General features: G+C 44.4%; 1 protein-coding gene across 5 annotated transcripts in view, besides 1 other annotated feature; it reads left to right on the top strand.

The window, feature by feature from the left end:
• The window catches only part of SASH1 (SAM and SH3 domain containing 1), a 358,577-nt gene that overhangs the window by 96,188 nt on the left and 249,577 nt on the right, over positions 1-12,812 (top strand). The gene's annotated exons all lie outside the window — the stretch shown is intronic.
• Positions 1,356-1,857: an enhancer, noted in NCBI's record as "H3K27ac hESC enhancer chr6:148612147-148612648 (GRCh37/hg19 assembly coordinates)". NCBI's record gives its function as "activates a minimal SCP1, AML or CMV promoter by ChIP-STARR-seq in primed H9 embryonic stem cells {active_cell/tissue: H9 hESC(primed)}" and the evidence as "EXISTENCE:reporter gene assay evidence [ECO:0000049][PMID:30033119]".

Genomic DNA, 12,812 nt, shown 5'->3' on the forward strand with positions numbered 1-12,812 from the left:
GGAGAACATCTGAAATACAGGAATCTAAAAAGAAGTGCAATGAGTTTTGTGTGTTGAGGAATAGGGGCAGGGGATGCAGTCCCCTTTGATAAATAACCAGAGAGTGATTGCATTTATATCCTGACAGCATACTCATGTTGTATAGCCATTGTGAACACAAATGACAGCCATGAGTTCTGTGAGGAAAATGGTTTTTTTTGGTTGTGTTTTTTTTTTTTTTTTTTTTTTTTGAGACAGAGTCTCACTCTGTAGCCCAGGCTGGAGTGCAGTGGCACAGTCTCAGCTCACTACAACCTCTGCCTCCCAGGTTCAAGCAATACTCCTGCCTCAGCCTCTTGAGTAGCTGGTATTACAGGTATGCACCACCATGTCCGGTTAATTTTTGTATTTCTAGTAGAGAAGGGGTTTCACTATGTTGGCCAGACTGGTCTCAAACTCCTGACCTCAGTTGATCCGCCCACCTCGGCCTCCCAAAGTGCTGGGATTACAGGCGAGAGCCACCGTACCCAGCTTTCTGTGAGGGAAATCTCAGTGTTAATGAAATATTTAGTTTTTCTCGGTGATTACAACCAACACCCTTTAGCCTTTACGTCTTTGATTCCCAAATATATGAGGAAAATTTCTCTTCTCTCTCCCAGTTGAGAACTAGGAATTAATGAAAACGTTCTTGGCCGGGCGCGGTGGCTCATGCCTGTAATCCCAGCACTTTGGGAGGCCGAGGCGGGCAGATCACGAGGTCAGGAGATCGAGACCATCCTGGCTAACAGAGTGAAACCCCGTCTCTATTAAAAATACAAAAAATTAGCCGGGCGTGGTGGCAGGCGGCTGTAGTCCCAGCTACTCGGGAGGCTGAGGCAGGAGAATGGTGTGAACCCGGGAGGCGAAGCTTGCAGTGAGCCAAGATCGTGCCACTGCACTCCAGCCTGGGTGACAGAGTGAGATTCCGTCTCAAAAAAGAAGGAAATTAAGGGCGGTGCAAGATGTGCTTTGTTAAACAGATGCTTGAAGGCAGCATACTCGTTAAGAGTCATCACCACTCCCTAATCTCAAGTACCCAGGGACACAAACACTGCGGAAGGCGGAAGGCGGCAGGGCCCTCTGCCTGGGAAAACCAGAGACCTTTGTTCATGTTTATCTGCTGACCTTCCCTCCACTATTGTCCTATGACCCTGCCAAATCCCCCTCTCCGAGAAACACCCAAGAATGATCAATAAATACTAAAAAAAAGTTAAAAAAAAAAAAAGAAAGAGAAAAAAAGAAAAGGTTCTTTAAAATTTCATTATGTTTTATGAAAGAGATAAAAGGCATCTTTTCTTAATGCCTGCATTCTTCCACTTTATCTTGTTTTTTTTTTTTTCTGTATGAGAAAATATTGCTCTGTTGCCCAGGCTGGAGTGCAGTGGTGCAAATCATGGCTCACTGCAGCCTCAACTGCCCCTGCTCAAGCGATCCTCCTGCCTCAGCCAATTAGGACATGGCAAAAATCAGCCATGGCCACAAGTGGCAAAATCAGGCAGTTGATTATTTGCTCATTCTTGCTTCAGATGAAATCCATTAAAAAGGAATATCAAGAATAACTTTGAAATGATAAAGATTTGAGGTGACAGATACGCTAATTGCCCTGATTTGATCATTACACATGGTTTGCAGGTATTGAAATATCACATGCATCCCATAAATATGTTCAATTATTATGTGTCAATTTAAAATTTTTAAAAGAATAGCTTTTAAAAAGTGCAGGATGGCTAGTCACAGTGGCTCATGCCTGTAATCCCAGGACTTTGAGATGCCAAGGTGGGCAGATCACTTGAGGTCAGGAGTTCAAGACCAGCCTGGCCAATGTGACGAAACTCTGTCTCTAAAAAAATACAAAAAAGATTAGTTGGACCTGGTGACATGGCGCCTATAGTCCCAGCTCCTTGGGAGTCTGAGGTGGGTGGATCGCTTGAGCCTAGGAGGTCAATGCTGCATTGAGTTGTGATCACACCGCTGCACTCTAGCCTGGGTGACAAAGTATCAAAAAACAAACAAACAACAACAACAACAAACAGTGTATTTATGACTCGGGGACTTTTTTTTTAAAAAAAGAAATGCTGTTTTAAGTCAAATGAAAACCAAAAATAAAAAATAAGAATAAGAAAGCCATAACTTGGGGTATAAGGTATTTATTGTCATTGTTATTCTTGTTGTTGCTGATTTCCCAGCGGGTACTGGGGATAAGGTTAAAGAAAAAGAACCCAGAAATCCAGACTTGGAAAAGAAGATGGAAGAGCTTAGAGCCAAGAAAAATAGATACTAGTACTTAAAAGAATTTGGTTATTTTAAGATCCTCCTGAGAAAGAGTGGCTAGCATCTTTAACACTGGTAGCAAAATCAGGCAAAGGAATTCAGGAAAAAAACGCCTGAATATGGAACAGGAAGGAACTAACTTTGTCAAATGTACTTAATGAAGTGTTTTTCAGGGTTACTTGAGATTAGAAAGTAGACAGAGTTGTCTTCTGTGATGATCTTTTCATAGAATCATGCAGCTGGGAGAAATAGTTTAGTGTTATTTCCTGCCTCAGGGAGCTATATAACTAAACCATCCCATTTGGATGGTTATCCAATTCATTTTTTTTAAGCATTTAAACCACCATCTGCCCTGAGCTCTGAGCTTGCCTGCCATCCACATGGGCAGAAGGTGACACATTTGCCTAGGGGCTCCCGACAATCCCAGGCCCTACCTGCTTTATCCTGGGATATGGGCTAATGGAGCCTTCCACAGAAATGGGATTGTTTTTGGGATATGGCTATTATTACAGATATTAGCAACATTCTGCCTTCAGTCTCTTCTACGTGCTTATAGAAATGCACTGGCCTGTGGGGCTCTACACCTCAAAAAATAGCCTTGAGAAGGCTCTGCCCTAGGAAGAGGGGTGTAAAGGGCATGTTACTTAAACACCGACTTTCATGGGGACTCAGATGCTCCACATGTGGCTAAAGCCAGAGCTGTACCCTGGCAACTCAGTTCCCCTCTCCAGCAAACTAGCATCAGGGCAGAGCAAGGGAAGAGGCATGTGAATTCCATTGATCGTAGGTTCAATGCCAGGCTTTAAAAGGTCTATGTGAATCAGGGCCGGGAACAGTGGCTCATGCCTATAATCCCAGTACTTTGGGAGGCCGAGGTGGGCAGATCACCTGAGGTCAGGAGTTTGAGACCAGCCTGGCCAACATGACAAAATCCTGTCTCTACTAAAAATACAAAAAATTAGCCGGGCATGGTGGCATGTGCCTGTAATCCCAGCTACTCAGGAGGCTGAGGCAGGAGAATCACTTGAACCTGGGAGTTGGAGGTTGCAATGAGTCGAGATCGCACCACCCACTGTACTCCAGCCTGGGCAACAGAGTGATACTCCATCTCAAAAAAAAAAAAGGTCTATGTGAATCAACAGCAGCCCAGAAAGGTGTATAAGATCTACCATGATCTGTAATAATCTCAAAGGGCTCATTTCACCTGGATATAGTGGCCACAGAGCAACCTGCACACCCTAAACGATCCAAACCCTGTAGGTGCTCAGTGCTGCTGGGAATGCCCCTCTAGATGTTCTCAGGACCAGAGCACTCCAGACTAGCACTGAGCAAAGATGTTGCCCTTTTTCTCCTCAGGCTTGGCTCCTTGCATGCAGCCAGGAATCAGCAGCCAGTGAGACATCTCCGATTGGTTTGCAGTTCTGTCAGATACATGCCTGGGGTGAGGAAGTGTCCTTGAACTGTTTGCTTATTCTTCCCTTCTGAATGGAAGTGGAGTGATTGCATCCCACAGGTTTCGGAGATGGCACTGGATTGGCGCCACTTGCTTGGCCCTGGACACTGGGCAGCACTGTGTGTGGAGGCTTTCCACCTGCCTTCTTGACAGCTGTACTTTCCCAGGCAGCGTGGGCAGAGTCGGAGCCAGAGACTCAGCTAGTCTGGAGGGGGAGGGGGAGGGGAATTGGAGAAATCTTGTTTACGCCACTGATGCCAGGATCTAAATTTTCTACAACCCACATGCCAGCACCCTTTAAGCCTGCTCAAGAGGTGCTGTGAGTTGGAATCCTAGGAGAAGCCATTAGCTAGAGCTTTCCCCAAGGGACAACAGTGTTCCAGATTCTGTCTAGGATGCTGTTATAGTCCTTACCTTAGAACAACTATGCCAGCCGTCCCGGGAGGAGGAAAAGCAAAGGTTCTAGTCTCTCACTGGAACTTGGGAAATATTTCTTATTCAAATACACTCTTTGAGCATTAACATTTCTCAAGGGAGCAAGAGAAATCTGAGAAATAGTCATTGGCCTAATTTGGATGGCTGAATTGTTTCATGAAAAAGCCTGTGAATTGCAATTGAGACCTTGGCATGGATCTGGGGAGGCAAAGGGAATCTATTCTCTGAAAAGCACCATATGACTATGTCAGCCACACCTGGGCTGGCCCCGCCACCCAAAGATGCCCAAGTGGCACTGGTCATTTGCACATTTCTAAAGAGGCGTGCTTGGATTTTGCACAAAAAAATTCGGGTCCATGGCCACAAGTGGCTTTGCAGATGTGTTACTGGCCACAAGAGAAGGCAGACAAGAATTCAAATGAGGCTACACAGCCAAGAAACTGTCGCAGGATCAGCGGTTGAAATGGAGACCAGGGGCAGAATCCAGGAACGGTTGAGAACACAGACCTCAGGGTCAGAGTGGTACAAATCCTGGACCCTTTCCTTACGAGCTCTGAGACTCTGGACAAATGACTGAACCTCTCAGTAGGGATGGATGGTATAGATCCTTCCTCACCAGAATGAAGTCCAAATAGGAATGATAGTAATAGGCCCTTTCTCACCAGGAGGTAGGAAGATTAAGCAGCAACTGGTGAAACACTTGCTTAGCACCCTGCCTGGAACATAACTAAGTACGTGATACATAGTTGCTACTGTTCTATTTATTATTTTTCCTACACAGAAAAGCCTGCATGAGGCCTGGAATTGCTAATGCCCCACGTTTTAAACAACACCTGATAAACGGCAGTGTGGAGTTGTGACCCTCAGCCTGTGTGATCAGATCCCAAGGTCTTAATCATAAGGAGGAACGAGAGGGGAGCAAAAATTTCTTAAAATTTTGAGTTGCCCTTATATCTTATTGGATGGAAAAAAGAACTTGGAAAAAGTGCTGAGTTTCTTTCTAAAGGGGTTCCACAGCTCAGTAAGGTATTCTAGTCTCCACCACTCCCTGTGCTCTATATTGACATCTGCCTTTTCCAAAGAATGGGAATTAAAAAACACTGGCACAGCCATTTTGTGAAAATGCATAGAATTGAATCTGGTTCCCACTTTTGAAATAGGCAAAGAAAAATTAATGGATGCCTAGTAAGTCTTTTGTACTAATAAGACCTATTATTATTTTCTTTCTCGTTCTCTCTCTCTCTCACACACACACACATACACACCCGTACACACACCAGTCTAATACAATGTCCTCATTTTATAGATGAGTAAACTGAGGTCCTGATAATGAAGTAAACGAGTACCGGCATTCCTAGCTACCCACTTTTAGGTAGTTTAAATGTAGCTTTGGGGGAAAAATAACCCTAGTCTTGATGCTGCAGTTGGGTGGGCAGGCTCATTACAGAGGCATTTTCAGCACTTAGAGAAAGGAGTTCTCTGTTTGCACACACACGTGCATACTTTATCTCTCTCTCTTCCAGTTTTTGCTTTGTCCCCAAAATTCTGATACTCTCCTTCAGAGAAGGAGCTGAAGTAAACAAATCAACAATCAAGGCATTTTCTGAACAGAATGGATGCATTATTCTTTGGGTGAGCAGAACCCAGATTCTGGTTTCTGTTCTTAACTCAGCTTCTTCTCCCTTGGAGAGGGGGAGTAATGGAGAAAAACAGAAACAAGTGATATTACTAATAACAACCCTGCCAGCTCTCTTTTGATTACTGATCAACCGGGTGACAATCCCACAGGGCAGAGAGTTATCTCGGCAGCCTGTGATACATTCAGTTTAAGCTGATGGCGGCGTATGGCAGCACAGCTCCAGCAGAAAAGCACTGTCCCCTGTCTGAGGACGTGCAGTTGGGCTGAAGAACGGTGCAGAATTGTTCCTGCCATGCCTCTCTCCTTCACACCCCAGCACAAAGAAGGGCTGTGTGTTGACAGCAGCCAGCACTTCACCTGGTGGGTGGGGACAACTGCTGTATTGCCCACACCTTGCCCCTTAGTGAAATTGTTAATTTTCAATATTCTGACAGTCTGTATTCTATCCTTTGCCCTAGTCCAATTTTTCCAAACAATGAAACAAAGTTTCGTATTATTCTAATACCACTTCTTATATGTATTGACTTTCATTACGCCTTTTGTTAGTTACCATCAAAACTTGTTGGAAATCATTGTTACTTTAAAGGAGGGAATACTTGTTAAAAAGCAAATTTCTATGGGATATTTGTGGGTTTTGTTTTTTGTTGTTTTTGTTTTTGTTGTTGTTGTTTTGAGACAGAGTCTCACTCTGTTACCCAGGTTGGAGTGCAGTGGCGCTATCTCGGCTCACTGCAACCTCCGTCTCCCAGGTTCAAGCAATTCTCCTGCCTCAGCATCCCGAGTAGCTGGGATTACAGGAGCATGCCACCATGCCCAGCTAATTTTTGTATTTTTAGTAGAGATGGGGTTTCGCCATGTTGGCCAGGCTGGTCTCAAACTCCTGACCTCAAGTGATCCACCTGCCTCGACCTCCCAAAGTGCTGGGATTACAGGCATGAGCCACTACCCCAGGCCCTTGTGTATTATTATCATTAAGTATGTATTTTATTTTTTATATTTAAAGTAGTAGACTTACTTAGCAGTTACTATGTTCCTGGAGATAACTACAACAATATTTCATGTAACTCTATGGGATTCATTGTATTCATGGCCCCATTTTATAGATGAGAAAACTAAGGCTCAATAGGATAGAGTGATTGACCCAAGGACAGTTGGTTCTAAACGCTGCTCTGTCCGACTCAAAAGGCAGCATGCTGGGACCTACAGTCTCCCTAAACTTGTTTATCTAGAGTGTTACACGTATGTGGGCACATGTCCAAAATCCCTTCGGTGCGGCAGTTTGGAGAAAGGGGTCAAGGACAAGGGCTTCTTCCCCTAGAGCATTTAATGAGAAGGAGCTGGCATGGAGGATACCCAAGTCTGATGTAGTTTACTACTCTGCCCTCACTGTTGCTCCTTGTTTAAAGGATTTGGGGAATTTAGCAAAATATTGAAAGCACACATTTTCATGCTTGTGAAAGCAAAGGCCAAGAGCCAAAGGGCTGCAGCTGTGGATGCTTTTCCTCAGCATGAGGTTAACCTAAGGAAAGAAAGGCCTTCAGGGAAGAGAATCTCTTTACTGTTGCATTCTTAAAATTTCTAGTATTTCCATATGGACAGGACTGCTGCTCTTCCAGAAAACTTCTGGAAGAGCACCCTGAAGAGAGTCTGTCGTGTGAACTATGGTTCATTCAGCACAGAGAGTAGGACTCTGGGCATGGTGCACGCTGTCGCGGGGAGCAGCCGACCTTCCAGAACTACAAAGGAGAGACCCTGTGGAGAGGGTCGCACCAGGGCCGTCACTGGGGAAGTCATTTTCCTCTTTGGTTTGTTTATTTTCCTGCATAAAGAGGATGGTAAAATAGCTTAGACTAAAGACATTGTGTATAAAGACAGTGACAGGTTTATGTATTAAGCAACCTTTATTTGATTGTGACAACACTTTAAGATGAGAACAATGATACTAACTTTGAAACTAGGATTGTAAAAAAAAATATGAGCCATCTAGTTTAATTTAGATTTTATGTAAATAATGAATATTTTTTAACATACATCCATCCTATGCAGTATTTGGGATATATATGTATACTAAAAAATTATTGTCCGGGTGTGGCGGCTTACGCCTGTAGCACTTTGGGAGGCCAAGGCAGGTGGATTGCCTGAGGTCAGGAGTTCAAGACCAGCCTGGGCAACACGATGAAACACTGTCTCCACTGAAATACAAAAGAAATTAGCTGGGTGTGGCAGCGTGCACCTGTAGTCTCAGCTACTCAGGAGGCTGAGGCAGGAGAATTGCTTGAACCTGGGAGGCAGAGGTTGCAGTGAGCCGAGATCGTGCCACTGCCCTCCAGCCTGGGTGACAGAGCGAGACTCTATCTCTTAAAAAAAAATTATTAATATTTTATCTGGTGGACCCTATTGAAGCACTGATGTTAACAAAATACCACCACTCTTGGTAAAAATTAGTACATGGCTATAATTTGCAGGTTTTAAGGGAAATAGCATTCATTAAAACAGAATAGAATGAATTATTGATTTGCAACTAATTGATTATTATATATATATTTTTTTTTTGAGATGGAGTCTCGCTCTGTCGCCCAGGCTGGACTCCAGTGGCACGGTCTTGGCTCGCTGCAACCTCTGCCTCCTGGGTTCAAGCGATTCTCCTGCCTCAGCCTCCCTAGTAGCTGGAATTACAGGTACCCACCATTATGCCCAGCTAATTTTTGTACTTTTTTTTCCAGTGGAGATGGGGTGTCACCATGTTGGCCAGGCTGGTCTTGAACTCCTGACCTTGGGTGATCTGCCCACCACGGCCTCCCAAAGTTCTGGGATTATAGACATGAGCCGCCGTGCCCGGCCTTATTATAATTTCTTATGTGGCAATTTCTCACTTTAATTAGGTGCAGTAGCTCACACCTGTAATCCCAGCACTTTGGGAGGCTGAGGCAGGAGGATTGCTTGAGCCCAGGAGTTGGAGACCAGCCTGGGCAACATGGCGAGACCCTATCTCTACAAAAGAATGTTTTTTAACAATTAGTGTGGCCTGACATGGTAGCATGCATCTGTGGTCCCAGCTACCCAGGAGTCTAAGGTGGGAGGATCACTTGAGCCTGGGAGGTAGAGGCTACAGTGAACTATGATCATGCCACTGCATTCCAGCCTGAACAGAGTGAGAGGGATGAAAGAAGGAAGGAAGGGAGGGAGGGAGGGAGGGAGGAAGGAAGGAAGGAAGGAAGGAAGGAAGGAAGGAAGGAAGGAAGAAGGAAGGGAAAGGAGGGAGGGAGGGAGGGAAAGGAAGGAAGAAAAGAGAGAAAGAAAAAAGAAAGAACAAAAGAAAGAAAGAAAAAGAGAAAGAAAAAAGAGAGGGAGGGAAGAAAGGAAGGAAGGAAAAAAGGAAGGAAGGGAAGGAGGGAGGGAAGTAAGGAGGGAGGGAGGGAGGGAAGGAAGAAAGGAAGGAAGGAAGGAAAAGAAAGACTCACTTTAAATGAGTCTGTAAGTTTGTTAGCAGAGAGCCATTAGGTTATGTTTTCTCTTCAGTCAAAATATCATTAAGTAATTCACAAATAAAAGCACACAGACAATTTTGCAAGCATTTAAAAACACTTTAAACTGTATATAAATGTTTTTGAGTTAAAGGAGGGAATTCATTCAACAAATACCTACTGAGCCCTCACTCTATGCCCAGCATGGTTGAAGGTGTTTGGGAAACAGCGGGAACAAAATGAACTTCTCTGTCCTCTTAGGCTTTATATTCTAGAGAATGGTGAAGTTTAAACTATAGCCAGTTGCTGGAGATGTAGTAAAATAGGGGAGCGGACACTCTAACATTACAAAGATTTTTTTTGTAATGATTTTAGAAAAGAATTTTTTTTTTTTTAGCATTTATTGGTGCTACAAGAATTAAGATATTCTGATATCATTAAAAGACTGTCGTTGGGTGCGGTGGCTCACACCTGTAGTCCCAGCACTTTGGGAGGCCGAGGTGGGTGGATCACTTGTGGTCAGGAGTTTGAGACCAGCCTGGCCAACATGGTAAAACCTCATGTCTGCTAAAGACACAAAAATTAGCCGGGCATAGTGGTGCACGTCTGTAATCCCAGCTACTCGGGGGGCTCAGGAAGGAGAATCTCTTGAACCTGGGAGGTGGCGGTTGCAGTGAACCGAGATCACGCCACTCACTCCAGCCTGCAAGATGGAAGCAAGACTCCACCTCAAAAGAAAAAAAAAAAAAAGGCCTTTCAGGGTTCTCTGGGGTTTGATGGCTGAAAATGATATAAACATAAGAAGCCTTTAAGTATCAGGTCAACCTGTATTAGGAGGGGCTGAGAAGCAAACATTAATTCAGGATGCTATCTTTGGTTAAAAGCTCTCAACTTTTAAATCAGAATAAATTTACAGGGTGCCTGTGAGCACTAGCCAACCCTAACCCGCCCCACCAACAAATAATTTGGTGGAGATTTTTAGGAGTAGATAATGTTGTCAAGATGCTGGGGAGGAAAGGAAACTTTCAATGCCTGGGGCCTGTTTCCACTGATGCATGGGTATCAGTTTGGCAACACACTGCAGCTCCCATTCTACACTTGAGAGGCAGTAAATTGCTTTTGGGTAGAAATGAATTAACTCTTTTCTATGACTACATTACCATAACATGCTGTCAGAAGTGATTTAGTAAACTGAATATGGAAGGCTAAAAACCTGAGTATAGTACCAAGAAATAAATTGATTAATGTGTCCTTTCATTAGTATGATCAGATTCACAAGATGATTTTATGCTAATACTCATTTTCATAGCCTCTATTGTCAGCCTTGGTAAACTCCAGGTTGGAAGGATGTTAAAAGTTATCCACTCTGACTTTCCTGTGCCCATCGGATGCTCTTTCCCCTCCGTAATATTCTCACCAGGTGGTCCAATCTTTTAAGGTGCACTAGAATAAGCTTTAGGGGCCTGGTCAAACAAACAAACAACAACTTTACCTCTCAGAAACAAGATTTTTTTTTTTTTTTTTTTTTTTTGAGATGGGGTCTTGCTCTGTCACCCAGGCTGGAGTGTGGTAGCGAGATGTCGGCTCACTGCAGCCTCTGCCTCCCGGGTTCCAGTGATTCTCTCACCTCAGCCTCCCCAGTAGCTGGAATTACAGGCATGAGTAATCCTGGCTAGTTTTTTGTATTTTTATATTTATATTCTTACTGGCTAATTTTTTGTATTTTTAGTAAAGACGGGGTTTTACCACGTTGGCTAGGCTGGTCTCGAACTCCTGACCTCAGGTGATCTGCCTGCCTCGGCCTCCCAAAATGCTGGAATTACAAATGTAAGCCACTGCACCTGGCCAGAATTAAGATACTTTGTTCCTTTCATTTAGACCAAGGAAGCAACATGAAGCCACAGTTTCAAAAACCCGACAGCACTGTGAAAAAGAATTCCCTATTTCTTTTACTGTAGAGAAGAAAAGGACTAGTAAAACCCTTTTTTATTAGTAGTCATTGCAGTTCTATATCTTTGTTTTTTGAGTTTGTTGTTGTTGAGGCAGTCTTGCTCTGTCATCCAAGCTGGAGTGCAGTGGCACAATCTCAGCTCACTGAAACCTCCTCCTCGGCCGGGCTCGGTGGCTCATACCTGTAATCCTAGCACTTGGGAGGCCAAGGCCAGCAGATAAACTGCAGTCGGGAGTTCGAGTCCAGCCTGACCAACATGGAGAAACCCTGTCTCTACTAAAAATACAAAATTAGCCGGGAGTGGTGGTGCATGCCTGTAATCCCAGCTACTCAGGAGGCTGATGCAGGAGAATCACTTGAACCTGGGAGACAGAGGTTGCAGTGAGCCGAGATCGTGCCATTGCACTCCAGCCTGGGCAACAAGAGCAAAACTCCATCTCAAAAAAAAAAAAAAAAAAAAACTCTGCCTCCTGGGTTTAAGTGATTCTCCTGCCTCTGCTTCCCGAGTAGCTGGGATTACAGATGCCCACCACCATGCCCGGCTAATTTTTGTATTTTTGGTAGAGACAGGGTTTCGCCATGTTGGCCAGGCTGGTCTCAAACTCCTGACCTCAGGTGATTCTCCTGCCTTGGCCTCCCAAAGTGCTGGGATTACAGGCGTGAGCCACTGTGCCCAACCTGGGGTTTTTCTTTTCTTTTCTTTTCTTTTTGAGACAGGATCTTGCTCTGTGGCCCAGGCTGGAGTGCAGTGTTGTGATCATGGCTCGCTACAGCCTCAACCTCCCAGGCTGAAGCATTCCTTTCACCTCCGTCCCCCAAGTAGCTGGGACTACAGAAACACACCACCCCATCTTGGTGATTTTTTTTTTTTTTTTTTTTTGCAGTTTTTGTAGAGATGGGGTCTTGCTATGTTGCCATGTTGCCCAGGCTGAACTTGTGAGCTCAAGCAATCCTCCCACCTCGGCCTCCCAAAGTGCTGGGATTACAGGCATGAGCCACCGCACCCAACCTGTAGTTCTATATTAAAAACAACTGACATTCACTAAATGATCATTATGTGCCAAACACTGTGCTAAATAATTTTCATGTTATTTCTTATTTAATCAAAAATTTCATCATTTACAAGACCCTTAAGAAGCTAGTAATAGGCCGGGCGTGGCGGCTCACGCCTGTAATCCCAGCACTTTGGGAGGCCGAGGCAGGCAGATCATGAGATCAGGAGATCGAGACCATCCTGGCTAACATGGTGAAACCCCGTCTCTACTAAAAATACAAAAAATTAGCCGGGCGTGGTGGCGGGCGCCTGTAGTCCCAGCTACTCGGGAGGCAGCAGGAGAATGGCGTGAACCTGGGAGGTGGAGCTTGGAGTGAGCCGAGATCCCGCCACTGCACTCCAGCCTGGGCGACAGAGCAAGACTCCGTCTCAAAAAAAAAAAAAAAAAAAAAAAAAAAAAACTAGTAATATTATGACCTTGGTTAATAGAGACTAAGTGAGAGGTAGAGAAGGTAAGTAATTGCCTACCATTTTAACATTAGAAGGGATCTTTGGAATCCAAAACCACTCTTCTGATTTTCTAGGAT

This window comes from Homo sapiens, chromosome 6 (genome assembly GCF_000001405.40).
Source record: "Homo sapiens chromosome 6, GRCh38.p14 Primary Assembly".
Classification (NCBI taxonomy): Eukaryota; Metazoa; Chordata; class Mammalia; order Primates; family Hominidae; genus Homo; species Homo sapiens.